Here is a 28,000-nt window from a genome sequence, read left to right as displayed (position 1 = left end):
CAGGGTGCCAGGTTAAAGTGCAGAGGGTCAGGTCTGGGAGCTCAGAAGGTGAGGCCTCCAGCTGACTGCAACGTCTGGGAGCCTGTCCAACAGCGAGGCCTCAGTGGGCAAGAAAGAAACAAGCCAGGCCTGCTGAATCACCTCTCCTCTCCGCATGTTAGCCAGGTAGGGGCAGGGGTGGAGGGGACTGCTGCAAGGCTGGGTAGATGGAACAGTGCCTTCCCTACAGCCATGGCCCTCTCTGTACACCCAGTGCCAATGGCACCTGCTCCAGGGAGCCTTCCCTGATGTTCTGGATGTTCACTCTGCAGCCCAAGATGCTGTCACCTCTGAGTGACCTCTCTGTTCTGACTCCATAGGCACCTTCAGGGCAGGGATAGGCCTTTACTATCCTATTGTCTCAAGGAACCTCTGTGAATAAGCTGGTGGTCTATTATTGCTCAGTAGTGAGCTTCCTGGACAATGCTGCTGGGCCTGCACACGGCCCCAGTGAACAACCTGGGTCATGCACTTCCTCATTTGGTTTGCACTGGAATCTGGGCAAAGGCTGGAGGCTGAAAGCTCCTGGCGCTGACATTCTCCAGGTAGCAGGGGCGTGATCAGACAGGTCCTGGACGGCTTCAGGGTGGGGCTCTGGTCACACAGGGAGTGGGCAAGGGAGTGTGAATGACTCAGTGCCAAGCCCTCCCTGCTTCAGGGAGCACCGTGAACCCGGAGTGTTTAAAGAAGTGGTCGCCCCAGAGGGAGCCTGCCGGCTGGTCAGCCGCCCTCTGCTCCCCTCTCTGGCCTGGGTCTTAGTCTTATTGACACTACGAATATAGTCTCAGCTTTATCTCCTTCAAAGGATGGGTGTGGGATCAAAAGAATGTGGCTGGCTCTGAAAGGGTTTTGACAGATGTGGAGCGCTGGGGTGATTATATTCATTGTTCATCCTTCCTCCTTTCCTTCCATCTACTTATCCAGCCACCCATCCAACTGTCAGTTTGTCCCTCCCTCCCTCACTTCCCTCCCTTCTTCCTTCCCTCAACCCAGTCACTCACCAATCCTGTACCCACTGATTGTTGGTGAATAGATATTGAATATGTAGGACTCTGACCCACAGCTTGGTCCCTGTGCAGAGAGGGAGCTCAGAGAGCCCACAGGGTGCTTCCCTGATTCAGCCCCACCTCCCTCAGGTGGGCTCCCCTACCATCCTGGCCCCCCACCCCACTGTGATCTCACCTGCCCCTGGGTGTGGAGAGCCACAAAGCCATCCTTCTGGAAGGAACCTCTCGGATCCTCTCCCCTTGGGGTCCTCCGCCTTTCTGGGACCTCCATGCCTCCTCAGCGTCATACCTCTCCCAGCGTACAGTATGCAGCCCCCCAAGCCACGCCAGTCTTGTTGACGAATGAACTCCTACCAGGTCTCCCTTACCGAGGGCAGCCTTCACCAACTGCTGGGCTTCTGAACTGGGGGCTGGTTTCTCCTTAGGCTTCCACAGGCGGGAGTCTTGTTTCCCAGCTAAGCCACCAGCTGCCTGAGGACAGCCTGAGCTTCAGTTCTCTCGGGGCCGCCCCCACCTCCACCTCCAGCCAGGTGTGCCAGGCCTTCCGCACACCCTCGCTCAGATACAGAGAGGAGGGAGCCATGACGCCCAGAAATGAGGAGGGTGCTGGCGGTGTATCACCAGTAAGTCACAGCCCCGTGTCCTTGGGACTGCCCTGAGACCAACAGAGCTGATACGATTTGCTCTATTTTCACAGGAGGCAGGATGACAAGCCGGGTCACAATGGAACGGGAGGACACCAGCTTGTGGCACCCCACCTGAGCACCCAGAGTGCCTACAGAATAGACAGGGAGGGCCAGACCCATCTCCAGAGGGCAGCTGTGGGTGGAGCAGGGACTCACAGGAGCCCACAGAGCAGATCTAGGACTGGCCCAAACCTAGTGGCCATGTGGCACGGCGAGGCTGGCATGGGACCTAGTCTGTGGCCATGCTGGCTACCAGGGATGAGGTGGCATATTCTCTGGATGAATCCACCCCTTTGCCTCCCCACATCAGAGACTAGCTGGGCTGCCTCTCCCCGCCAGCCCACCCAGAAGGACAGTTCAGACCCCAAGCTCTGAGGGCTCAGGGCCTCTCAGTCTGTACCACCAGGCCCTACTGGGATTCTGCTAAAGAAGACCTGATAGAAGGGTCCCCCCTGCCAGACTCAGCCTCCATTACCCCATCAATAAGACAGAGCTAGGCTCACGGTAAACGCGAATGTAGGTGCGAATACCTTGGGATCTTGTCAAAACGCAGACTGATTGTGGTCTGGGACAGTGCTGAGGCCTCGAATTCCTAACAAGCTTCCAGGTGATGCTGGTAGCAAAGCTCTAAGGGGCTCCCAGCTCTAAGCCCTAGCTCCCAGAGAGATGGTGTTATGGAGAGAGCACACGTCATGTAGGATAAAAAGAAATCTTTTCAAAAGTGGTCCCCAGGGTTGGGGGAGAGGAGGTCAGAGAAGGGAGCCCGGGGACAATAGTGAATAGAATTGGGATTATTTCCTGAACTCTGATTCCTCGTGGGAACGAGGTTTTGAAAAGCTTTTCTTAAAATGGTTATTATTTAGTGGCCTGTCCAAAATAAACACACACATGCACTGCACGGAGCCAGGCAGGAAGTGAGGAACATCTGGGAGACATCTGGCTGCTGGAGAACTGAGAAGTGGGTTGGGGAGGGCCAGCGGGAGCTGGAGGCGGTCTGCGTGCCATGGTCGCCCACAGTCACACAAGCACGCCAGCACGCCCCCGCCGCCAACCAGTTCGGCGCACACAGGCATGCATGCATGCACACAGGGTGTCCCTAGGACCTGCAGGACCTTGCTGGCAGCGGCTGCAGATCGCGGGTTCTCGGAAGCGGACATCCTAGCTCTCAGGATCCGCCTTCCCTCCTCCCTCCTCTCCTCTTGGAGGTTGTGATATTTATGACTTGCCTCTCTACGTATGCAAGCTGAGTGTTTTCCTTCCACCTGCTCCCCGGCTAGCCTCAGAAAGAAGCAGGGGCCTGAGTAGGGGCAAACTTAGGGCAAGTCTCCAGGTTCCTCCAGATCTGTGCCCTCTGTAAGAAGGATATGACTCTTCTGCCTGGCTCACTGGAACACTAGAGGCCATTCACCCAACTGATATTTACTGTAAACCTTCTGCAGTGCCAGGCAACGTCCCAGGGGCTAGGTGTCATCTTAGGAGATTATAACCAAACCTTAACACCCAAGTTTAGGGTGTCGTCATAATGCCTGAGTGGCCCTGGGGTGGGGGGCCACCCTTACCCAGCAGGCATTGGCCCAGGCTGTAGGGATGAACCTGCCACCACCCTGTGAAGGCCAGGGCTCAGAGTCTCATGCTGATTATGCCTGGGGGCACCCTGCATCATTTCTGTTGTGGGCGTGTTGTGCAGGGAGTTCCTCCAAGGAGACTAAGAGGGCAGGAACCTTGTGTTGCACAATTCTCTGTCCCTAAAGATGCCTGGCCCAGTACTAGATACAGCAGAATAGGTGATGGCTAAATAAATGGAGAGACCTGGGCTTGTACAAAGGGCACAGTCTCTGCAGACAGACACACCCAGGTGCAGATCCTGGCACTACCACACACCAGCTGTGTGACCTCGGGCAAGTTGCTTCATCTCTCTGGGCCTCGGTGTACTCAATTATAAACTATGGAGAACAATGGTTAGCTCCAAGGGTTAAGCAGCCTGATACATAAGGTCCTTCACGCAGTGCCTGGTATTTGGTTAGAACTCAACCAATGTTATTATCACGAGGCACAGAAGAGATTTTAAAAGTAGTATTCACCCAGTGACCTTAGGTGATCCCTGTAGCTGTGGTTCTGATTTTCCTCCATGTTCCTTCCAGCCCACCCTGGACTGTCTAGTCTCTCCAACCTTGGCCATCCAGGTGGGGTGGCCTCTGAGGAGGGGGTGGCGAAGGCTTCCCAAGCCCCCCGGGGAACAGGGAAGGGAACTAACCCTGGCTGAGAACCTTGGTGTTGGGCACTTGATGGATGGCATCTTCCCAGAAGCCTTCAGAGCTGTGCCATCCAACACAGTGGCCACTAGCCATATGTGGCTGTTTAAACTTTAATTAAAATTAAAAGTTCAGTTCCTTCATCACCCTGGCCATATTTCCAGTGCTCAATAGCCACGTGTGGCTAGTGGCTACCAGACTGGGCAGTGCAGGCAGAAGACGTCCCCATCCCTGCAAGAAGTTTCACTGCACAGTGCTGCTGCAGGGAAGGTGTGACAGCCCCCACTGCACAGATGGGGAAACTGATCTGAAGCCCAGGCTCTTTCTGCTTGGCCCTAAAGCAGCCCCCAGACTCTTTTTCTTTTATTTTTCTTTTGAGACTGAGTCTCCCTCTGTCGCCCAGGCTGGAGTGCCGTGATGAGATCTGAGTTCACTGCAACCTCCGCCTCCTGGGTTCAAGCAATTCTCCTGCCTCAGCCTCCCAAGTAGCTGGGATTATAGGCGCGTGCCACCATGCCCGGCTAATTTTTGTATTTTTAATAGAAAATACAAAATACAGCCTGTTGGCCAGGCTGGCCTTGAACTCCTGACCTCAGGTGATCCGCCCGCTTCAGCCTCCCAAAGTGCTGGGATTACAGGCCTGAGCCACCGCGCCCGGCTCCCCAGACTCTTGAATGGGTGGGCTGAGGTCCTCATTGGGTGTTCCATGGCCCCACCTGCTGGAAGGCTGGGACACACCCAGTGCCCTGCTGCTGGCAGGGCCAAGCCCAGGACAGAGAGAGTGACACCGTGGCCCCGTCTCCCTCACCCAGGCATCATAAAGACACCTCCAACACGTGTGTGTGAGATTCTGGGGGCCGCCGACCAAGAGCCCAGACCCAATCATCTACAGGAACGGATGTGGCAGGAGAGGGCACTGGGCACTCCTGGCCTGCCATGGCAGACCGCCAACCCTCTGCAGGGACAGCCAGGGTCTCACACGGACAATGGCTATACAAGGGCCTGAACTGCAGGGTGACCACATTCCAGCTACAAAGTGGATCCCCCTGGAATCTTGGTGACCACAGGCTGTGTTGATGTCTCTAGAGGGTGGACAGGCCCTGCCCAGGGAGAGGGGGGCAGACCTGACTGTATTGGTGCAGGGCCCAGATGAAGAGGAAGCTGCCCACTCAGCTGCTGGAAAGAAGCCCACGCCAGGCTCTCCTCTCCCTCAGCAGTCTTTCCTCTCTGCTGAACTAGCTCGGGGGACCTCAAAGTACCTCACAATGAGCACTACCACTTTCTGGCCATGTCGTTTTGGGCACTGTGGGCCTCAGCTTCCTCATCCCTACAAAGGAGATCATCTCACCCAGGGGGAGGTGGGGCGAGGTCACATGTCATAGTAACAGACACAGGGTCTGGGCCACGGCCGACGGACGCCACGCAGGAAGGGAGTCACAGGGAGGGCCTGAGACAGACTGTGAGGGAATGCCACGCCCCCCCATGTCCTCTCCCCACTGCACTCCAGGGGGCTGGGGTTGGCCTAGGAAGAAGGGCCTCAGGCCTCCACAAAGCCGACCAGCAAGCTGGGCCTCTGTGCAGCCTCTCTGAGCACCAGGTCGTGTGTGGGCATCTCACTGGCAGCCAGGGACTGCTAGGCAAGTCTCACCTCCTTCTGTGGTGACTCTAGGCCAGCCCCACATTCCCTCCAGGCTGTAATCACATAGGAGGTGATACACAAGATAACTAACAGGCTGCTATTATCTCTATTGTTAGAAGTTTATTATTACTGTTAGCCTGGCCTTCACCCACTCTAATGGCCCAGGTGCACCATGATGATCCTGCGTCCTTGGGCGGCACTTAGAAGCACTGGGCCTCCACTTGGGCAATGGTAATGGGAGGCTCTTTCCAGTTCCGACAGCCTGTGATTTAAAGATAGAGATCTCCTGGGGAGATGCCAGGCCAAGGAGAAGACGGGCCTTCTGTCGTGGTGCCAGTTACTACTGTTATTGTTCAAGTACAGCTCAGCCTCCCAGGGACAGAGCTAGATGTGCCCGATAAGCACATTTCCCCTCTCTCTGCAGCCTCCCCCTGCTCAGATAATACATGTGTTCACCAGGGCCTCTGGCTCACTCCTGGAGCAGACTAGAGCCCTGGAGACAGCACTAACCCAGGACACGAGCTAGTTCTCTGACTGGAGAGGGCTACGCGGCAGTGGGGATATGGGGCATTTGAGGAGGTCTTCATGTGTCTTTACAAGCCAGGTGCCTGTAGGATGTTTCTGCGGGGCTCTTGCTGAAGCTACTCAGTTACAGACTCTCTGGGGGGGCCTTCGGCACTGGCAACCCACCAAGCTTCTCAGGCCTGCTTAGGCAACCTCTCCTCTAGCTAAAGTGAATCACAGCTAACTGAGTCTCAAGACAGGAGCCCTGGGAGGTCTGGAGCTAGGACATGAAACCCAGCTGGTTGCTTGACTTCTCTAAGCCTCAGTTTTCTCCTCTGTAAAATGGGGGCCTAGTTCTTGCCTAAGGAGGCTTTGAAGATGAATAGGGTCAATACAAGTAGAGTGATCTGACCAGTTCCTGGCATACATGTAGGCTACCATGATGATGGACTCTCAGACACATCAAGTCCAAAAACAACAACAACAACAAAATTATAGAATCTTGGATTCGCAGGCTGCTAATTACAAGAAGCTCAGCAGGCCATCCTGAACTTGCCCTTCAGGCAGGGATTCCTATTAAAGTCTTCTTCTTGGCCCTTGGGGACTGGTACCAAGGGGCCTGCCCCATCTTCTTCTAAGGGCCGTCAAAGGAACCTTTTGGTTTCTCAGCCACAGGCATTCTCAAGCTAGACAGATGGACAGCCAGAAATATCAGCTACGCCTCTGCTGTTCCTGCCCCCATCCTCCCCTCAGGTCTTTTAGAAATGAGACCGAGTAGTGGAGCGACAGTGGGGGAGGAGGAGCAGGCGGCGGGCAGCTGCTGGGCCGGGAGGAAATCATTGCTGGTAGCCTCTGCTCAGCCGTGACCCTAACAGGAAGCGATCGTGAGGGCCCCTTGGGAGGCTGGAGTCTGAAGACAGGGCGAGGGATGGGGTTTGGACCTTCCAGGCCTCATCACCCGTGTCCACCCTGCTGGCCCTGTGCCCACGGCCTGTGCCTATCAGAGGCAGGCCACGGGCATCACCACTATGGCTAGTCCACCCTGAGAGCCTGCCTTCCTTCCTGGGGTTACTGGGGTCCCCCCTACTGGGAGAAGGGGTATCACGCTCAAGAGGTTACATGAGAAGAGGAATTGAAGTATCCTTGGTGGTGAGTGGCTGGCCTGGGCCAGTGGGCAGAAGCCAGAGGATGCAGATTTGGGCCGGACACCAACAGCTGCCCAAGTCATCCAAAAAAATGCAGCAGGCCGCATGGCAGAAGAGTGAGCATGCCCATGGGGGGAGGGGGCACAGGTTGGCACACGAGAAGCGCGGCTCATAATCTCCGGGACTCCCTCCTGCAGCAGGGCTTCTGAGGTGGAGAATGGAGAGACCGTGAGGGTGGGTGGGGTAGGTGGGGAGGGAAGGAAGGCTCAGCAGGAACAGCAGCTAACATGCCACCTTCCCTCACCCGCCTGGAGCCCCAGCCCAGCCTTTCCTGCCTCCAGGCACCCCACACTGGGCACCTGTTTATTTCTCCATGAGCCCAAGGCCAGTCCCCTCACAGAATGGGCAGCCTCCCGAGGGCAGGCCCAGGGGTTTAGTATATATACAGGGTCTGCCAAATCCAGATGTGTGTGTGCTCACATGCAGATCACAGGAGGGAACCCTGTGAAGATGACCGGAGGAATCTGGGCTTCAGGGTCACCCAGGGGCCCTCTGGCACCAGCCACCATATGCTCTGCTTATAATCTCTGGGGCTCCCACCCATCCAGCAGGGGTGTGTGCCCACTGCCCGCCCCCGTGGATGCCCTGCTCTTGCACTGCTGAACAGAGGACTGGGGGTGGAGTGGGCTCTCCAGACTGGGCCACTGCAGCTAAGCACCAGAAGCTAACCTCAGCGCTGGGCAGGGCCTGGCATGGACCTTTTGACTAACATGCACAGCCTCCCATGAGGCTGGAACTATTAGTGATGGGGAAACAGGGCCCAAGAGGTTAAGTGATCAGCCAGTGACATGCATGAGGAGCCCCTAACTGCTCAGTCAGGACGGGCGACCCTCATCCCACCCACCCGAACTCGATGGCCACCCTCAGGCCCATTCCCTCCCTGTGCCTGGGGCCTCCTGCCACCTCAGGCACCCCCTCTTCATAACGAGGTTCTCCTGGGGGTGGGGCGTCACCTCTGTTAATGTTCCTTTATAGAAAATGTTTCCCCTTCCCAAGGCCGCTGCTAAAACCTGCCCCACTACCCCCAATGCCATCCCAACGCAAGTAAGCCCTGGACACTAAGGTATCTACTAGCTGAGAGGTTTTCTGGCACATTGAGGGAGATGATAAGTCAGTCTTCCCTGGGTCACTGGCACTGTGGGGGCAGAGGTTGGCTTAGGGTGGCTGGGAGACACGCCACTCAAATCTGAACCCACCCTCTCTTCCACCATCCCAGGACAGCTCAAGGGCAGGGAAATGAACAGGGTGTTACCAGGCCTCCATTTCTAAGTCTGAGCAGGCAGAAGCCTTAACTCCCTCGTCTAAAGCCTCTAGGGATTAGCCAGGCATGATGGTGCACACCTGTAGTCCTAGCTACTAGGGAGGCTGGGGCGGGAGATCATTTGAGCCCAGGAGGTCGAGGCTGCAGTGAGCTATGATTGCGCCATTGCACTCAAGCCTGGATAACAGAACAAGACCCTGTCTTTAAAATAGTAATAATAATTAAGCTTCTGAGGATATGTATAAGAGAGTGAAAATGCTGCCCAGGTGTGTAATCCCAGCACTTTGGGAGGCCTGAGGCAGACAGATCACCTGAGGTCAGGAGTTCAAGACCAGCCTGGCCAAGATGGTGAAACCCCATCTCTACTAAAAATACAAAAAGTAGCCGGGCCTGGTGGCTCATGCCTGTAATCCCAACTACTTGGGAAGCTGAACCCAGGAGGTGGAGGTGGCAATGAGCTGAGATCACGACTCTGAGCTCCAGCCTGGGTGACAGAGTGAGACTAAAAAAAAATAAATGCAAATGTAAGCATGGAGTCGAGGCCTCAGACGTCCAGCAGGGCCTATCGCTAATCAGAAACCACAAGACATTCTGAGTGACAGGATTGAGAACAGGAGTGAGTGTGAGCAACAAAACTTGGGGTCACTGGAAACTTTGGGAAGAAAAGAGCCACTCTGGAGAAGTGGGCCCTGGGCAGGGTGGGCGTTGTGGGGATTTTGCCTGACTTTCAGGACCCTTTGCACCCTCCAGAACAGTTTACCCCTGAGGTCTTCGAGCAACCCCTTCCTGTGGCTCCAAATGGTAGGGAGACTGGTGTTTCCAACAGGAAACGGGCTTTCCACCCAGGGCAGGGGGGCTCCCAGCACCTCTAGTTTTTAATGATCACACTCCTATTTATTTAGCTTCTGAACAGCTCCAGATTTCTGCCTGAGGGAGTTACAGGCTGTTGGGCTATTTGTGGCGAAGTTAATGAGGCGACTCAGTGGAAGCTGCCTTGTCTCCCGTCCCCTTCTGTGGGAAGACACAGGAAGCCCCTTGATCCCCAATTACCTGCCTGACAGGAGCCTCTCCCCACCTTCCTCATCTTCCCCAGCTCCAGGTACCACACCTCTTCCCCCAGGCTCACCTGGCTCATCACCAATGAGGGAAATGGACTGGCTGAGGTTTTACCATTTCCACTTGCCTTAAGGTGAGCATCAAATATTTCTTGAGACAGAATAAAGGACTTACAAAGTCCTAGTAAAGACCACTTCTGCTCCCAGTAAAACTACCTCCTTCCCGATCCTATAGAGGCCACAGGCTGGAGATGGAGGCAGGAGGCTTCCAATACGGACTTCACCGCACCTCCTTCACACTAGGTGCTGCAGGAACACCTTGCATAATAATAGTTAATGCACTCAGGATTGCCAGCTTTGTGCTGAGGACTTCCCGTGTATTTACTTATTGACGTCTCACTGCTCTTACCCCCACTTTACAGATGAGAGAACTGAGGTCTTAAGAGGTGACCCCAAGGGCACATGGTCAGTAAGAGGCAGAGCCGAGTTTCAGACCCAGGCTAACCAACTCCAAAAATGCCCAAGCACTGAGTGAGACGGCTCTCTCTCTAAAATCTCATTTAAACCTCATGGAGACGTTATGGGGTAGATTGCTATTAATTCCACTTTGTGGTTGAAGACGAGGCTCACATGGGCTAAACTGTCCAGGAACACGTGGTTTGGAAGCAGGGAGGGTAGTATTTGAACCCATGCTGTTGCCAGAGCTTTTCCACATAAACACGAGTCTTGGTGACCAGGCAAACAGGGGTCATTAGGGAACGTGCACTTGGTCCCCAGAGTGGGCCTCTGCTCACAGGCTCTGTGGCCTTTGCTATTCCACACCCAGCCTGGGATCCTAGCTACCCTCCGCCCAGGCAGGCCTGTTTGCCCACCACCTGTGCTTCCTGCCTCTTCTCCAAACCTCTGAATACCCTGGAGCCCCCATCTACACCTCCACCTCCTCCAGGAAGCCTTCCACATCCCAGCCGTGGAGCTCACTCCTCTGAGCTGGAGAAAATGTGGGCGTTCTCTTCAGGGGCATGCATCTTCTCTCATTCCTAAGTGGAATTTTGTGAGCTCCTTGGGGGTAGGTTCTGGGTCCCCTTGGAGCGAGGCACAGAGAAGGGAATGATAAATATGGGGGTTCACTGCTCTCAGGACCAGGGTCCCTCTGGCCTCTTGAGGGCTTCACTGGACCTCCCCATCCATTCTCCCAGAGGAGAAGCAGAGCAGACTTCCTTTGCACAGAGAGGAAACCAAGGCACAGCTAATGGCAAGAGCCAGGGAGTCTCCAGTGGGGGCTCGGGCAGGGAAGCCCAGCACCCATGAATGAGGAGGCCACTGCCGGTCAGTGTGGGGCGGGAGGGCCCTGGGTCCCAGCTCTGAGGAGCTCTGAGAAACGCTTTACGACTTTCTAAATGGGCCTCTGCTGACAGCTTAACAGCCAGCTCCTCCCTGCCCCGGCTTCATATTTACGAGCTGGCTCTGAAGGGGGGCTCAGGAATCCGGCCCACACCACCCGATCCTCAGCCCTCTGGCTCCAGGGCCAGGAAGCCATAAAAAATGATCTTGCATTGCTTCCCTTCCCCCACATGTTTTAGGTGAGGCAGGGCGGGCATGGCAAGGGATGCTGGGGGCAGGGAAGGTGTAGGGTCTTTCTCTAAGGCTACACAAGCACATTCTCACAGAGGGGAACTCAACTGCCCAGGCTTTGCCCAGTCCTGAGGTCCCTAGTCTGAGCTGTCAAGGGCTGGACATACTCATACTTATGGGGCACCTACTGTAAGCCAAGGTGTCACCTTCAATATCTCATTGAATCTTACAACAACCCTGAGGAGTTTGACAAAGTTTGGAAAGGTCTTTGGACTCAGATCTCCACTGTTCCCTCCTGCCCCGACCAGAAGGCCCCTTCAGTTTACAGTTGACGAGTGAGACCCAGAGATGGAAAGGAACTTGCCTAACGTCACACAGCGTATTAGTGGCAGAGTGTGGACCTGAACTAGGGCTCCCAGCTCCCAGGGCAGTAGGACCCATGCTGCAGGCTCCTGACATGCCAGTGGGCGAGGTGGGGATGATCCCTTTGCCTTCCACATGGGTCCCTCTGTCTATAGATGGCCCAGATGCGACCAGGTGCTCTCTAGGGCTCTCAGCGGCTTGGGCACTCTAAGGCTGGAATTCCACAATGGTGCCTGGTCTGAAGCCCAGTTGGTGGGGAGCTGCCCTTCCTTTTCAGGTTGAGGCCAAGAGGCCACACCAGCCCTGGCCATTCTCTAAGCTCAGTCCTCAGGGCTGGAGGCTGGGCTCCGGGAACCCCCTAGGACCCCCCTACCAGTCCCTAAGTGTCCTCCCACCGTCTGGCCTGGGAAGGGCCAATGTCTCCCACAGGATGTGGCCGTCTGGCTGGCTGAAGCCTCTACCACATCCCCTCTGGGTGCTCTCCAGGCCCAAGGCTGAGGAACGCTGACCACGGAAGGAACCCCACCCTCTGTCCCCATCCCAGCCCACGCTGGCACAACCTCCAGTCCACATACCCTCTTCTTCCCGCTGAAGTGGGTCAGTCCCACCCAGGGAAACCAGTCCTCAGCTCTCTGCTGAGTTCAGGGCTCTGGCTACAGTGGGGGCTCAGCAAATGACCATCAAGCCCCCAGAGGGGTTCAGAAGGGCTGGTGGCTGCAGGCCTGTTAGTCCCACCCCTCCTGTCTTTCTCTGTGGTCTGGGCCCCTTCCCTGGTGGCTCCCCTAGCGAGGGGCTGTCTGCAGATAATCAGGGAACAGATTTGGAAAGAAGGAGGAAAAAAAGCACTCCGGCGCCAGACAGGATCCTTATCTTCTGGGGCGGGATGTCTGTCAGAGGCAGAGGCAGAGGCAGAGGCAGAGTCAGAGGCAGCGGCAGCGAGTCCTGCAATAGGGGCCCGGCATTGCAGCCAGGCCGGGGGAGGAGGGGCCCCCCTGGGCGCTGGGGGTGGGAAGGGCTGGCCTCTCCTTCTGGGCCAGGAGACCAGTGGGAATCTATCTGGCCTGCTGGGGAGGGGATCTGGATGCCAAATCCTGTCCCCTCAACCCAGCTTTTAGGATGAGTCTCCCTGATGTGTTCAGAATGACCCTGGGACCTCTGCAAATAGAGCAGAGGAAGAGAGGCCCAGGTTTCCAAGTCTCCCAAGTTCCTAACAAGGCAGCAGGGCCCCCAGACCCAGCAGCCTGGAACTGGCTGGGGAACTGTCTTAGCCACAAGACTCTGGCCAAGTATTCTAGCTGCATCTAGGTGCTCTCACCTGTAGAATGGGGATGAAACCCCACACGCCTCTTGCACTGAGCTATTAGGCTTCTCCCCAGGGATTCCATCTAGAAAGTGCCTTGCAAAGGGAAGGTGTGTTCTGCCTGGGGCTTTGAGCTTCCCACCCCAGGGGCTCCCTGCTGGTTCTCACACAGCTTGACAGACCAAAGGAAGGTCATACAAGGGGCTTTGCTTCTTATGCTGGTCCCCAGAATACTTTTCAGTGAAACCCCACAACATGGTGAAGGTCCTTTTCATAGAGCAGAGAGCAGGTTTTCCGATGGGGTACTGTTTCCCCAGGGCAGTCCATAAACCTTGGGACCAAGAAGCTTCGATTCCCTGGCTTGGACTTCTCTGGGCCAGGCCTGAATCTCAAGAATGAAGCCTCATCTCCGTGAGGGCCCCAGCAAAAGCCCCTGGAGGGGGCGGTGTCAAGTGCGGGCCAAGGGCACAGGCCCTAATCAGGCTCCAAATCCAGGCTCTTTTGCTGCTTCCTGGCTGTGTGACCCTGGGCAAGTGTCCTTATCTCCGCCCCCCACCCCCGAGGTTAATTTCCTCATCTATAAAATGAGGAAGATATCTCTTCAGTGCTAACATTTTGTAACTTCACACTTGACCTAACCGGCTCTGCCCCTGAGAAACTTGAACCGTAAAAAGAAGGGAGCCATATAACACATATAACTGTACTTGCACACTCATCAGGCAGAGAAGCATCAAATCAAGTGTGCCTGTGTGGCCTGGAGCACCCTGGGACCAGGTTCCTTTGTGGACCCTGTTTCTAATCTCCTGGCGGCCTCAGCCAAGAGCAGTTAGAGTGGGCTGGCCTCCTGCAGGAGTTGGACCAGTTCATCTCCCAGGGATGGGCTGCAGGAGGAAATGCCAGCAAGGGTCCTGACAAAGAAGGAAAGGCTTCTGTCTGGTGCTGGGGATTAAAGGCACACTCCCCTGTGCCCCACCTCCAGTTCCCTGTGCCCCACCCCAGCCCCACCAGAACCTGGCTGGCCTGTCTCCCAGCTGCCATCTGTAGGGGTTGGTCCTCATTAACTGCTGTGGCAGCTGAGGGGCTGGGAGAGGGAGATGCAGGCTGCAGAGCTAGAAACTAAAGCCAGGCTGGGACGGTGGCCACCTCTGGAGCTAGAGTGATGGACCGTGGAGTGGGGAGGCAGAGGGAAGGGGGAGACAAGGGAGTATAGGGACGGGTGACAGGCTTGGCCAGTGGGAGAGGCAAAGGTGAGAGCTGGCTGAAGCCGCCAGCATCTTCCGGGCTGTTATTCTGGGCAACATTTTATTTATTCAGAGGCTAGGGATGCGGCTCAGCATTGGTTGGCTCAATATTTATTACAAGTGCATTGACCTTGTACTGTGGACCCCGTGATGGGGCCACCTCAGGACCCCGGGATGGGGCCACCTCAGGATCCTCATCTCCTCGGTGCTAGGACACACTTGAAAACCTGCAACGAAAAGCCGAGGGGTCCTACCTTCCTGGAAGACCACCCAGTCCAACTCTTGCTTTACCTTTGGGAAAATTGAGGTCTGAGGCAGAAACAACCTTGCTCAAGGTCACAGGGCACACTGGTCCTTGATCCCTGTTCTCTTGGCATTTAGGCCATCAGAATGGACAAGTGCTGTGGAAGTAGAAATACTGCAGACCACATTCAGAGGGACAGCGACCTGCCCACAAGTCCCCCATCAGGTGCAGACACAGCTGGCAGAAATCCTGGAGTAAGGTCGCAGCTTTGTGTACAAGGCACTCAAGCTCCCTGAGCTTTGGTTTCTTCCTCTCCACGAGCAAGGTAATCATGCCCATCTCACAGAGTGGTTGGGAGGACTGCATGAGAACACCCTGGAAACTGTCAAGCCCCATCCTACTGGAATTGGTTTATTCACTGACATGCTGCATGGCAGGCTGTGCTGGGAAGTGAGGCAGCATGGCCATGGGGGACTGGCATCCATCCATGGCCCCTAAACCCCTTCCTTATCACAGCTACCAAGGCTAGGCAGGCGGCAACTAATAAATCGGCAGTAAGAGCTCCTTCTTAACCAACTGAAGACATGTAAATGACCCAAAGCAAGGCCAGGGCTGCCAACTGGCGGAGCTCACGGTGACATCACATGCCCATTTGCTCCAAGCCTTCCAGCAGCTGAGGTCAGCTTGCAAAGTGGGAGCCCCTCCCCCTCCAGCCCCGTGCTGAGCCAAGAGGAGCATGGCACTGCCAGGGCTGGGGCTGGGGCCGGGGCTGGGCCACCAGCTCAGGTTCCACGAGTTCCTCCCTCCTTGTGCACTCCCTCTGCAATCGGCTCTCCTCCACCCTCCCTGACTGCATTTCCCTCATGAACACAAGATTGCTACTTCTCATATAACACATACGCGGTGGTGTGAACTTCTGGTAAATGAAGATCTTATTTAAAACTGTGTGCTATCAGAGGAGGAGATGAGATAGGTTTTGACACAGCTCAGCTGGCTTGCCAGGAAAAGGAGGTGCTGGGGGGCTGTGCACAGAGCCACAGGCCATTCCTGGGAGTTCCTGGGCAGTCATCGGAGATGGGCCACAAGGCTTCTGGCAATGCTTTCAACTCATCTATGAGGGTCAAAAAGGGTATCCCTTTCTTCATCTTTGCAGGAGGGTTCAACAAGGAGGTTTCCCCATTTGAGAATTCAGTTTGCTGTGTGGAACAAGTGGCTTAACCTTGCAGGGCTTTCCAAGAATGCAGAATTTTGGATCAGAGAGGCCTTGGAGATCCTCAGGTTCCAGGGTCCTCTACCTCAGCTACACAAGAGGACCACCTGGGGGACTTTTAAAGATCCTGACGGCCAGGCCAGAACCCAAGACCAATTAAGTCAGGATCTCTGGGTGGGACCTAGGTGCCAGGTGATCCCATTGTCCAGCTAAGGTTGAGAATGACCAAGCTAGTCTCTTTTTAACATAAGTGTGCCACAGAATCACCTGGGGTGTTTTGTCAAAATTCATATGCCCAAACCTGGCCCACAGTCCCTAAACCAGAACCTTTAGGGTAAAGGCCAGGCATGTGCATTAAAAAAAAAAAACTCTTAAGATTTTTACGTACGATTGTGGTTTTTCGTTTGCTAAGCACCTGTTCACAAGGGCCCACCGTGTGCTGGGCACCGTTCTGAGCATTTAGGGTACATTGCTGAGCGTACACAGCCCTGCGCTCCCAGGCTGGGGAGTCAACACATAAGTCTGTATTCAAACAACCATTCCAGATGGCAAGAAGTGCTGGAAGAAGAGTAAAAGAGGCAGGGGGCCAGGAAAGGACTCTCTGGGGAGGGGCCATTGGAGCCGAGACCTGGATGACAAGGAGCCAGCCACGCCAAGCTCAGTGCGAGAGCACTCCCTCCAGAGGCACGTTTGCTGATGTGTGAAATGACGACTCTAGCAATGGCCGAGCCCATACTCTCGCCAACCCCCACCTCACCCCTACTGTATTTTTAGGGTGCCCAGCAGGAAATGCTTGGAAGAGGCCAGTGGGTGTCACAATGGCACCTTCTGCCCCTCAGGAAATTCTATAGGCTGCTGGGCTAAGGGGACTTTACGATGCACAGCTTATATAGCTTTCATATAAGGAATCCTATGGTTCACTAGTCCAACCCCCTCATTTAACAGACAGGGAAACTGAGGCTCAGAGAGAGGAAGTGATTTGCCTTGCTGTAGCATCTCTGCTCTGACAGGGTTAAATGGGACAATGACTTCACCATGGAGGTGGCTTGCTGCTGTCAAGCCCATTGTCTTTACCCCCAGCCACACCCCAAATCCCTGTTCCTGGCTGCTCTCCATATAAACAACCTGTGTGTTCCAGCCATGGTACAAGTCTGTGACACATCCAGGGAGCTTGAGTGGTGGGAAGGTGGGGAACCCCCACTTCCCTGCTTCCCTGCCCCATAATCTTTCTGTGGGCGGGAGGTCCTTCCTCCCACACAAGGAAACCCATGAAAGGCCAGACAGAATGGTGCCAGATAAGGCCATGGAATTTGGAATTTGGTGGGATCTAGAATTTCCCTTATGGGGAAGGCTGGTCCCAGCTGTCCACCCATGGTGAGTATCCAAAGGGAGGCTGTGCCAGGCTCCAGGGATGTGGGGGGAGGCCCACATACCCAGGGCCGGAGGCCTGATGAGGTGGGGAGGGCAGAGAGAAGGTGGCTGGTTGTCTTTGGAATGTCCCTCCCCAGAGAGGCAGGCTAGGTCCACAGGTCACTTGGTGGACAGGACATTGAAAGCAATTTTGACCTTGGCCACTGGCCTGCTCTGCTCAGTCTGATGTCCACGTTTGTGGTATAGCCAGGAGGGCTAGAGGCTAGGGACTGCCTGTCTTCAACCTGCTTGGCCTTGGCTTCTCTGTGTGTTCAGGGGTCAGCAGCTTCCCTCGCTGAGCCATGGAGTGGAGGTAAGTTCCTGGCTCCCAAACAGGCCTGCACCCCTCCTCACTCTGACCAATCAGAGTGAGGGCCCTCAGGTTCCTCCTAATCACAGCTGAGTTCCCCTAGGGAAAACATGGAGGTAAGACAGGGTGTCCTTGAAGGACTATCTAGAATGGTCTACAATGCTTCTTTTCTTAATCTTTCTCAGCTACCAAACCAAGGCAAGAGCAGAGAGGAGGAGGTAGGGGTGAAAAGTCAGATGATAACAGTGTAGGTCAGGAGGTAGCTCTGTCTCAGTTTGCCCAGCCATAAAAGGGCAGTGAAAACACTCCCCCTGATGACTTCGTGGGGCTCTTGAGAAGCTCAGAGTCAATAAGAGGGTGTTTCTGCATGCCGCGCTCTGTGCCTGGGAGCAACAGGCATCACCCTGACCAGCGACGGTGGGACAGCCAGAGATGGCATGGGGCTGATTCTCACCACCAGCTCTTACTCAAGCCAAGGGACACGGGGCCCTCATGCACCCCTTTATAGGGTCTGCAAGACTGCGGTTCCTAAGAAGCTCTGAGAACTACACGCCCTGCCCCAGAAGCACAACAACTCCCTAGAAGGAGCCTTGGAAAGGAAGTCCAGGGAAGTGAGAGGGAGATGCCCCAAGGTCCCAGGGAATTTCTGTTTAGCCTGCCCTTCCAGCAGAGATCAGGGCCTCCGGGAGCTCGGGCAAGCGCTCTGGTCCAGTGGGCCGTGATGGGAAGGAGGGTGGATGGCTTGATCCACGCTTCCAGCGACCCCTTTCCCTTGAGAGGTCAGACCCTCAGCAGGCCCTGCCCCGCCCTCTGCAGGCTCCTCAGGATCCAGGGGCAGGGGCGGAGGAGGACACTGTCAAGGGTGTAATAAACAACTTACTGACTGGAAAGCAGAATTCTCAGGCTTGGAGCAGGACCTTCCGGCAATCATGCCCCCACCATCCTCCCAGGGTCTCCTCTGCTCTCTATAGGAGCTGAGGTCTGGCTCAGCCTCTTTTCCAGCAGACCAGCTGATCTGCCCCTGGGGCTTGTTGCTCCCCATGCACCCACAAACACCCACTCTCTCTGACCAATCCTTAAAATGGGAAAGGGGCTGACTGAGGCTGGCTGACTGGCCTGTGGGAAAGTGCCAGTTCCGTCCATCAATCAACAGCTCTTTAGCGAGACAACAATCACGTTGGTGGAGGAGTCTGCATTTTATAAAGCAGCTCCAAGTTCGATTCCCTCACCGCCCAGTCACTCCACAGGCAACTCCAGAGCATCCAGCACTCCCTGGGCATTGAGGGAGGTGCGCAGGGGATAAGGCCCAGTCCCTGCCTTGGGGAGTGGGTGTAGGGTGGGCTCATGGAAGGAGCACCGAATCTGGAGTCCAAAGGCTAGGGCTGAACCCAGATGAGGCCCTGACACTAAAAGCTAGATTAGGGTGGGTCACTTCACTTTCCTGAGCCCCAGTTTGCTCTTCTGCTAAGACCTTCCTCCCAGAGCCATCGCAAGGACTGAGTGAGACAATGCATACACAATGGCCAAGGTGGGCACAGAGGAGGCCCCGTGGGTGCCCCTCGGGTGCTCAAGCCCCCTCCACAACTGAATGTGAGGCCACAGTGTTTCATGTTTTCCCGTCTGGTAAATGAGAAATGGTATCTTGTAGTTGTTTTACAATATGTGTTTATCTAATTCTGAGTAAGTCTGTTCGAGGGTCATTGTTCTATTTTATTTTGTGCATTGTCTGTCCGTGTCTTTTTCTTCCACCTTTCTGTGAGGGCTTGATCCTTTGTTCCTTGATATTTAAAAGCACTTTATATACCATAAATATCAGCCCTTCGTCTGTGGCATATGTTAGGAATATTTCTCTCAGTTTGTCAAGTACTTTGTCTTCTGACTTTGTTTAAGGTGTTCTGTGATTTTTTTTTTTGTCGAAAATTTAAAAATGTTCATGTAATAAAACTGATCAGTTTTTTTATTTTATTGCCTCTAGATCTTAAGTCATAGTTAGAAAGCCTTTCCCACCCACAAGTTTAAAAAGGAATTTACCCATGTTTTCATTTAGTAGTTGTATCATTGTTTACATCTAGATCCCAAATCCACTTGGAGTTCATCTCTCTGTATGGTGTGAGACTTGAATCAAATTTCACCTTTTCCCACATAGCTACCCAGTAGTCCGAGCACCATTTATTAAAAAGTCTGTCTTAACCCCAGTGACCTGTGATACCACCTTTGTTATGTACTGTATTTCCGTAGACATTTGGGTCTAATTCTGAACTTACTATTATCTTTGGTCTATTTGCCAATTCACACACCAGTAAGCACACTGTTTTAATTACAGAGGCTTTCCAGTATGTTTTACTATCTGGCAGGAATAGTTTTACTTCTTCTTTACCCCTTTCTAATGCTTCTAATTGACTTCTCTCATTTAATCACATTTGCTAATACCTCTAGCGGTGAATACTAGCAGAGGTGAATACCAGCAGGGTATCTATTACTGATCTTACTGAAAGTACCTTTAGTGTTTCCCCATTAAATAAGATACCAGCTTTAGGACTAGGGTATGTATGTGTGTGTGTGTGTGTGTGTGTGTGTGTGTGTGTGTGTATATGTGTGTATATATATGTGTATATATATGTATATATGTGTATATATATGTATATATATGTATATGTGTATATATATGTATATATGTATATATATGTATATATGTATGTATACAAAATTTATTTTTATTTTTATTTTGTTTCAATAGTTTTTGGGAACAGGTGGTATTTGGTTACATGGATAATAAGTTATTTAGTGGTGATTTCTGAGATTTTGATGAACCCATCACATAAGCAATGCACACTGTACCCAATGTGTAGTCTTTTATCCCTCACCCCCTCCCACATTTCCCCCATCTCCCTAAAGTCCATTATATCATTCTTATGCTTTTGCATCCTCATAGCTTAGCTCCCACTTACAAGTGAGAACATATGATTTTTAGTTTTCCATTCCTGAGTTACTTCACTTAGAATAATGGTCTCTGGCTGGGTGCGATGGCTCACACCTGTAATCCCAGCACTTTGAGAGGCTGAGGCGGGCAGATCACCTGAGGTCAGGAGTTCGAGACCAGCCTGGCCAACATGGTGAAACCCCGTCTCTACTAAAAATACAAAAATTAGCTGGGCATGGTGGCACACACCTCTAATTCCAGCTACTCGGGAGGCTGAGGCAGGAGAATTGCTTGAACCCAGGAGGCGGAGGTTGTAGTGAGCCAATTTTGTGCCATTGAACTCCAGCCTGGGCAACAGAGCAAGACTCCGTTTCAAGGAAAAAAAAAAAAAAAGAAGAATGGTCTCCAACTCCATCCAGGTTGCTGTGAATGCCATTATTTCATTCCTTTTTATGACTGAGTAGTATTCCATGGTATATATATCTATCTATCTCATCTGAAAAGTATCCCTTAATTCCTATTTCTTTTAGTGTAGTATTTTATCCAAGCTTTGTTCAGCATCTATGAAGATAATAATATGATTTTGTTTCCTCAGATTCATTAATATGGAACATGATATTAATATGGCATGTTATTAATATTAGCGAATTCATTTGGAACCACTCTTGCATTCCTGCAATAAATCAGATCTGGTCATGATGTTAAAAAGAGAGAATGGAATTGGATGCTGCTGATCAGAGCTACCATCACTAAATACTTTCTCCATCCTCTCCAAGTATTATCTGATTCCATCCTTAAGGCAGCTCTGGGAAGCAGGCTTCATGATTCCCACTTCACTGATGAGGAAACCGGGACTAACAAGAGTGAAGTTGCCTGGCAAACATCATGCAGCCAGCAAATGAAGGAGACAGGATGGGATCTTGGGTCTCAGTGATTCCAAAGACCCTAATGATACATGGGTGGTGTTATCTGGCTGTTATTCAGTTATTAAAAATGCTTATGGGCTGGGCGAGGTGGCTCATGCCCGTAATCCCAGCACTTTGGGAGGCCGAGGCAAGCGGATCACTTGAGGTCAGGAGTTTGAGACCAGCCTGGCCAACTTGGTGAAACCCCATCTCTACTAAAAATACAAAAATTAGCCGAGTGTGGTGGCGGGCGCCTGTAATCCCAGCTACTTGAGAGGCTGAGGCATGAGAATCACTTGAACCTGGGAGGCAGAGATTGCAGTGAGCCGAGATGGTGCCACTGCACTCCAGCCTGGGTGATAGAGCAAGACTCAGTCTCAAAAATAAAAAATAAAATAAATAAAAATAAATAAAAACGCTTATGATCTGATAAGATTTTGGAAAGATAATATCTCTGTAGGAACTAGGGGGTGGGGAGGAGGAGACTCTATTTGTCCTAGAAGCTTGAGTGGTCCTCCTCAACCCACCACAGGCTCAGCAGAGGAGCCGTGTGAGGGGCTGGCAAGGTGTGGCCAGCCAGGTGTGCTGCCAGCAGGTAGTGTCTGCAGGGTGTCCTCAAGTCTGTGTGGCACGGTGGCAAGCAGTCCTCAAGACCCATGTCCCCTTCCAACTTGAGCTTCTCTCTGCCTTGGCACTTACGTCTCAGGCTCTGAACAGTGTGGGAGCAACTCAGAGAGTGAAGACTGGTCCAGGGATGTGGTGGGCTGGGAGGGAACAAAATGCAGAGAAGAAAACTCTAACTCTCTACTCCCTGCTGGTCCTGCCTGCCCCGTTTTCTAAGAATGGGCAGCCGGCCGAGGGATTATGTAACTTCTGGTGGGCATGGCAGATGGTGTGCTGGCTCAGACAGTATCAAACCCAGCACTGACACTAACCTTCTCTGACGTGGCACCCGGGCCTCCTCCGCTCTGGGATGTGGGGTGTGCAATGGGGTCAGGGTATGGGGGCACAAAGATGGATGAGAAGTGGCTAAAACTCTTGTCACTTAGCTCAACAGCTGTGGCCAGCCAGGCATGGGAGGTGCCAGGGAAATGGGCACGTGGGCCCTCTCATCCCTGCCACACAGGCAGCAGTTCCCAGGATGCACCGCATAGTCCAGGGACTGTTCTGCAGGCCTCCTGCTGCCTCAGATCAGCGACCCCCGTGGGTTTGGAGAACAGTTTCTGAAGCACCTCTCTGGGTGTTTTCTCACTTGGCCCTACCTGGCATTCAACTTCTTTTGTTCCTTTTGCTGATGGGTAAACTGAGGCTCAAAGAAGGTGGGTGAGATTTGCGTATCACACAGAGACAGATTTGGCCTTAGAGCTGGAGATTCCAGACTCCTAGTCCAGTGCTCTTTCCAAATGTGTCTAACAAGGCAGGCTCTCCCAAATGTGTATAACAAGGCAGGCTCTCCCCTCGCTGATAACCCTCAGACGATTACCAAGTCACCCCACAGGACTTCCTGAACTGTATCCACGGTGCTTTACAGCGATGGGCTTTGAAGGCTGGAAGGTATCTCAGAAGTCTGTAGGATAACCCTACTGTACCTTATGTCTAATATGCCCATGTCAAGAAGGCAATATCAGAAAGAAAGAAGGCGGGCTCTGTGGATTTGGGATCCAGCAATCCAAAATCCCACTAGAAGGCAGGATCCAGCAATTTGTGGATTTCCTTCTGGGTGGAAAGGAAAGAAAACCGACCTTCACTGACCATGCCCATTTCCTTTAATGTCCCCACAACCAATTGGGGGCCCAGTTTATAGTGAGGAGATGGAGGCTCATGAAATTGCAGTTAGTGATGGGGCCAGGACTTGAATCCAGGTTTTCTGATTCCAGGGCAGAACCTCTTCATTTGGACAGAGGAAGCTCAGAGAGGGAAAAGGACTGGCCCAATGTCACAAAGCAGATTAGCTACATGGCTAGGATTAGAATCCAGTTTTTTATTTCCAAAAAAAGAAAAAAAAGAATCCAGTTTTCCCAATCCTCAACTTGGGGCTTTTTCTGCTGTCATTTCGTGTGTGTGTGTGTGTGTGTGTGTGTGTGTGTGTGTGTGTGTGTGTGTGTGTCTACATACAGAAGTGGGATGGACCAGGAGGAAAATGTGGGGCTGGATCAAATTTGCAGCAGGGGTCACTGTGCCCAGCAGCCCCGGCTTTCCTGGTGTGTGTGTGTGTGTCTGTGTGTGTGTGTCTGTGTCTGTGTCTACATACAGAAGTGGGATGGACCAGGAGGAAAATGTGGGGCTGGATCAAATTTGCAGCAGGGGTCACTGTGCCCAGCAGCCCCGGCTTTCCTGGGCTGCCAGGGAGGAATTCCAGATCAGCCTCTGGCAGGGACTCCTGACAAGGACCAGTGAGCCACCAGCTGAGGATGGTCACTGGGCCAGGCTTGTTGCTGCCTGGGGATGTTTAATCTCCCAAAGATGTCAGTACTGGACATGATGCCACCCAGAGTCTATATCAGCCAGACCCCATGGCCAGAACTGCTCTCCTGCACCAAGCCCAGCTCCTGCTAAGAAGCTGGTAGCAGTTGCTATAGAGGGCTGAGGCCTGGAGTCAGATCTGGCCATGGCCTTTAGATACACCTGCTCAGCCCACACTTGCTCTCAGGCCTCACGGCCAGTTGTCCATGCGGTAAGCATTCTCTTGAGCCACAAGAAGGCAAGGTGGGGAGAAGTGATAATGGGCTTGTGGCTACAAGTAGGAAAGAAACATTTTAAAGTCGCCTGGACCAGCTGTGCCTTACAAGGGCCACCTTGCAGATAAGTACAAAATTTACCAGCCCAGCAAGTGTCTGCCAGTCTACTTTCTCTATGTAAAGGGGCCCAGGGCACTTGACTGCAAAACTTGGTTAATTCTCTGTGGCTCCGCTGGATTTAGTGAATAAATTCCTTCCTACCTAGGGGCTCTGATCACTGAAGATTTGGCTCTGGCTTCCACCATGTTGGGTACACAGTAAGTGCTCAAAGAAAGCAAGCAGCAGATAATGAAGGGAGGGAAGCAGGCAGGCAGGAGGGGAAGGCTGGAAGCAAAGGAATGAAAAAATCTTCTAATTCTTTGGTTACTCATCCACAGCAGCAGGTCCACGCACAGCTGGGACAAAATCACAGCTACTTCTCGGGTGAGTAAGGCCTGACCATGAGTTCTCATTCATCCATTCTACAGAGATTTATTCAGTACCTTCTGGGTGCCAGGAATCCACACGAGTGAGCCAAATCAGGCCCAGCCTCCCTAGTCACCTAGTGCCATGGCTGCTCTGCCATCACCTAGTCGTTTCAATCCATGCTGGCTGCCCCTGCTGAACCTGTCTCCCCAACCCTGGAGCCCTGGCTTGGTGACAAGGAAAAGGAAAGAACGCAGGCTGCCCCATCCGACAGACTCCCATCCCACCACAGGTCACTGCTCACTCCGAATGTCACTCTGCTCTGCTGTGTCACAGAATGACCAAAGGTGGGATAGGGATGGGGGAGGGGGTCAGGGACAACTTTCCTGGAATTCCTGACTCAATTTCTTGTAAGCTCTGCATCCTGCATGGGTGTCCAGGTCCCCAGCCAGGCAGGCGGACGCCTCTGATCGCATTACAGAGCTGCTTTCCTTTGGGCTTTGTCTCCTGAAGGCAGTAATGCCTCCAGATGCCGCTTGGGGCCTCTGGGGGTTGCAGGCTCCTGGGTGATCTCAGCAGAAGACTCCCTGGGGATGCCTCCTGGGTCAGGGCAGGCCCAGGTGAACACCAGGGACCAGAAAAAGCAGCCTCTCTCTTCCTGCCCCTCTCCTTGGCTCTCTGGCCAACCTGGAAACTGCCACTTTGGGACTCTCTGTCCCACTGTTCTGCCCAGAGATGCACAGGGAGAGAATCAGGGCCCAGGCCCAGCCCTAGCCCTATCCAGAGGTCAGCCAAATCGGGGGGTGGAGGAGGGGCAGGAAGAGAAGGGAAGGCAATGGAAATCCACAGAGCACCCACTCTGCCAAGACTGTATATGTGTGTGTTCACGTCACATCAGCACCTGGTGAAGGTGGTGGAATCATGCCTATCTCATGAATTGGGAAGCTGAGGCACAGAGAGTGAGCCACCTCTGGAAGATTCAAATCCTAAAGGCTGGGGCTCTTTCCACTAAGAGACCTCTGGCCCTAGAAGTCTTGAGTTGCTAGATGATCAGACACGAGTCAGAAGCTGAATGTAGAATTTGTCTCCTGGGTAGATGTGCCAGACATTCACACCCATACCTTCACGTACACATCCCCTACCAGGGCCACACTCTCCATTTACCCAAAGTCTCTCATCTTTCAAGGGCCAGTCAAGTGCAAACCTTCCCTCTTCCAGGAAGCCTTTTCTGACTGCCCAGACCACAAGAGCTTCTTCCTCTCAACATCCAGACATTTCCCTTCGTTCCACGCAATACATGGTGCCCATATGATGATGATGATGATGATGATGATGATGACAGTAGTGAATGTCACTGAGCACTTCAGAATATGCAACACACTTTTAAGCATGATCTCATTTATCCCCAAATCTAATGAGATTGGTGCTGTTACTACTCCCATTTTACAAATGAAGGAACTAAGCTCAGAACTAAGCTCAGAGAGGGTAAGCAACTTGCTCTAAGACACACAGCCAGATGGTGGCACTGCCAGGATTTGAACCCAAGTAATGTGACTGCACAGCCTGCCCTCTAAACATCGCGCAAGACCCCTCCCAAGACACACACATCTTGGCTCATGCTTGAATGATTCATATCTGTTGCATCATCCTAATCCCCCTTGCACCCCAGCATCACAGGCCAGGCACTTGGCCCATGCTTCAAGAAGCAGCACAAAGCCCATCAGTTCTTCAAGAGTCAGGCCCATGGTTTTTAAGCTTCTGACTGCGGAGCTCAGCACTTGCTCAGGCTGAATGAATGGGCATGTGCATCAGGTTTTAGGGTGGGCTGGTGTTCTGATACCCTACATGGAGACAGGAGTCCTCATTCCCCAACCCCCAAGATTGGCCTCCCCCTGCCTCTGAGAAATGAAGCTATGCATGACACGGGGGCCAGGCCTGCAAAGTCTGTCTCTAACACCCTCAGCAGGGCGCACTTGAGCTTCGGAGTGGGTGACAAGGGGGGGGACCACAGGCCCCTTCTCGCACATGCCCAGGCTGCCTCTGCCAGTGGGGCCCTTCTCTACCTCCTGGGCCCTGCTTGGCATCTGGGGTTCTCAGTTTCTGAAGCAGGAAATGCTTATGGAGCAGGAAAAAGGGACCGAGTTCCCAGAGGGTGATTTATGGCTTCGGTGAGAGAGACACCCAGGGCTGCATAATGCGTGCAAGGGCATTCCAGTCAATATACTGACTTTCCAGAGGGGCCTCTGTAAACACAAGTGGTTCTGGACCTCGGCTACCTCTGTTTCTTTCTGACTGCTGGAGCCTCTTCAGATAGAACCAGACAAAAACCCCACATCCTGTATGGATCATCCTTCCACCTCTGCCCCACTCCGGACTTACAGATGGGAAGGGAAACCAAACAATCAGAACCCAGAGAGGGAAAGGCACTTGCCTAGGGTCTCACAGCAAATGAAAATCAAGAGCCAGAGTCTACTAACTCCTCAGCCAGGAGCAGCTGAGACTCCTGGTCCTGACCTCCCAGCTTTCACTCCCGTGGAGGAAGATGATGATGCATTGCTAGGCTCTCTCCGGGGCAGGCTGCATGCCAACAGGCCCTGAGTGATCACTGTGTGCCGGGCACTGTGCTAAGGGCTTTACCATACATCAGCTCATGAGACTCTCAAGGCAATTCTGAGGATGATGTTATTATTACCCCCATTTTACAGATGAGAAAATGGAGGTACAGTCCAGTTAGGTGAGCTGCCCAACGTCACCAAGTTAGTCAGTGACAATGCTGGGAGGCCGTGTTAACCTCCTTAGAATTCCAATTGGCAATGCCATGCACTCTTCTGCACCCGCAGCTAAGGCCCCGGGGAGAGGTGTGTGTGGAAAGAGAGCAGCTGGGGGTTCCCAGAGGTGGTGATGACAAAGGATCTCCCCACCCCTACCCCTGCCAAATGGCTCACAGAAGTGCTAGGCAGATTCCATCCTTCCCCTTCTTACCCACTTTGTGTTCTCTGGTGGGGGCAGGGCAGAAAGTAGGGAGATACCTCCCCATGTCTCCACCCCCAATATGATCCCTACCAGTGCTTAGAAAGTATTTTCTGGGCTCGTTCCACCTTTGGGAGCCATACAGAGAGATCCAAGAAGAAGGCCTTTTGCCTCCAGGGCCTGCCATGGTCCTAGCCCACAGAGTCAGAAGCAGCTGAGAGGGTTCGTGACCCAAGCGCACACATTCAGTAGAACCTGGGATGCTGGGAGGTGGAATGGGGCCAGAGGGTTTGTTCTCCAAGGATTGGTGTCCACCTCAAGATAGTGAACACAGCAGATGCTAACAGGGGCAAATTTCCCAAGAGTAAGGAGAGGTCGGCTGGCACCCCTGCCCACATACCCAGCTAGCTAGCCCCCATCCCATCCTCTCTTCAGGACATGCTCTCAGAAGAACTGGAAAAGGACAGTCAAGGTCTGGCACTCATCACCTGCCCCAGGAAGCCCCATGCCTTAAAACCTTGGCTCTGCTATGCTCTTCCCTGCATATCATCTGTCACCCTCACATGGCATCTGCAATGCTCTGAATGCCACTTAACATTTCTAGAGTGGACATCAGCAACACTTACAGACAGCACCTCCTCGAGGGCTGTGGCCAGGGCTGCTTAGGAGTTCTGACCTTGTGATGGTTAATACTGAGTGTCAACTTGATTGGATGGAAGGATGCAAAGTATTGATCCTGGGTGTGTCTGTGAGGGTGTTGCCAA

The 28,000-nt window shown here is 53.2% G+C and overlaps 1 protein-coding gene and 1 long non-coding RNA gene across 4 annotated transcripts in view, besides 9 other annotated features; both read right to left on the bottom strand.

Annotated features, from left to right (window-relative positions):
- The window catches only part of LOC112268061 (uncharacterized), a 39,802-nt gene extending 11,815 nt beyond the window's left edge, over positions 1-27,987 (bottom strand). Inside the window, exon 1 of one of the 2 annotated variants that reach the window (XR_002957082.2) lies at positions 1,041-27,987. This is a non-coding gene — a long non-coding RNA (uncharacterized LOC112268061). The remainder of the gene's footprint in view (positions 1-1,040) is intronic. The other variant, XR_002957083.2, reaches the window with a different exon arrangement.
- UNC5B (unc-5 netrin receptor B) overlaps positions 1-28,000 on the bottom strand; it is a 90,295-nt gene that overhangs the window by 55,270 nt on the left and 7,025 nt on the right. The window lies entirely within an intron of this gene.
- Positions 3-1,202: an enhancer, noted in NCBI's record as "CDK7 strongly-dependent group 2 enhancer chr10:73006150-73007349 (GRCh37/hg19 assembly coordinates)". NCBI's record gives its function as "activates an origin of replication core promoter dependent on BRD2, BRD4, P300/CBP, MED14 and CDK7 cofactors, with strong dependence on CDK7, by STARR-seq in HCT116 cells {active_cell/tissue: HCT116}" and the evidence as "EXISTENCE:reporter gene assay evidence [ECO:0000049][PMID:35650434]".
- Positions 3-1,427: a biological region, named in NCBI's record as "CDK7 strongly-dependent group 2 enhancer GRCh37_chr10:73006150-73007349".
- Positions 508-1,427: an enhancer, noted in NCBI's record as "H3K27ac-H3K4me1 hESC enhancer chr10:73005925-73006844 (GRCh37/hg19 assembly coordinates)". NCBI's record gives its function as "activates a minimal SCP1, AML or CMV promoter by ChIP-STARR-seq in naive H9 embryonic stem cells {active_cell/tissue: H9 hESC(naive)}" and the evidence as "EXISTENCE:reporter gene assay evidence [ECO:0000049][PMID:30033119]".
- Positions 10,027-10,773: an enhancer, noted in NCBI's record as "H3K4me1 hESC enhancer chr10:72996579-72997325 (GRCh37/hg19 assembly coordinates)". NCBI's record gives its function as "activates a minimal SCP1, AML or CMV promoter by ChIP-STARR-seq in naive H9 embryonic stem cells {active_cell/tissue: H9 hESC(naive)}" and the evidence as "EXISTENCE:reporter gene assay evidence [ECO:0000049][PMID:30033119]".
- Positions 10,774-11,521: an enhancer, noted in NCBI's record as "H3K4me1 hESC enhancer chr10:72995831-72996578 (GRCh37/hg19 assembly coordinates)". NCBI's record gives its function as "activates a minimal SCP1, AML or CMV promoter by ChIP-STARR-seq in primed H9 embryonic stem cells {active_cell/tissue: H9 hESC(primed)}" and the evidence as "EXISTENCE:reporter gene assay evidence [ECO:0000049][PMID:30033119]".
- Positions 11,530-12,281: an enhancer, noted in NCBI's record as "H3K4me1 hESC enhancer chr10:72995071-72995822 (GRCh37/hg19 assembly coordinates)". NCBI's record gives its function as "activates a minimal SCP1, AML or CMV promoter by ChIP-STARR-seq in naive H9 embryonic stem cells {active_cell/tissue: H9 hESC(naive)}" and the evidence as "EXISTENCE:reporter gene assay evidence [ECO:0000049][PMID:30033119]".
- Positions 13,790-14,543: an enhancer, noted in NCBI's record as "H3K4me1 hESC enhancer chr10:72992809-72993562 (GRCh37/hg19 assembly coordinates)". NCBI's record gives its function as "activates a minimal SCP1, AML or CMV promoter by ChIP-STARR-seq in naive H9 embryonic stem cells {active_cell/tissue: H9 hESC(naive)}" and the evidence as "EXISTENCE:reporter gene assay evidence [ECO:0000049][PMID:30033119]".
- Positions 14,589-15,099: an enhancer, noted in NCBI's record as "H3K4me1 hESC enhancer chr10:72992253-72992763 (GRCh37/hg19 assembly coordinates)". NCBI's record gives its function as "activates a minimal SCP1, AML or CMV promoter by ChIP-STARR-seq in naive H9 embryonic stem cells {active_cell/tissue: H9 hESC(naive)}" and the evidence as "EXISTENCE:reporter gene assay evidence [ECO:0000049][PMID:30033119]".
- Positions 26,276-26,777: an enhancer, noted in NCBI's record as "H3K4me1 hESC enhancer chr10:72980575-72981076 (GRCh37/hg19 assembly coordinates)". NCBI's record gives its function as "activates a minimal SCP1, AML or CMV promoter by ChIP-STARR-seq in primed H9 embryonic stem cells {active_cell/tissue: H9 hESC(primed)}" and the evidence as "EXISTENCE:reporter gene assay evidence [ECO:0000049][PMID:30033119]".

Source organism: Homo sapiens, chromosome 10 (assembly GCF_000001405.40).
Source record: "Homo sapiens chromosome 10, GRCh38.p14 Primary Assembly".
Taxonomy (NCBI): domain Eukaryota; kingdom Metazoa; phylum Chordata; class Mammalia; order Primates; family Hominidae; genus Homo; species Homo sapiens.
The sequence above is the reverse complement of the archived record's forward strand: the minus strand, read 5'-3'. Positions and strand labels throughout refer to the sequence as shown.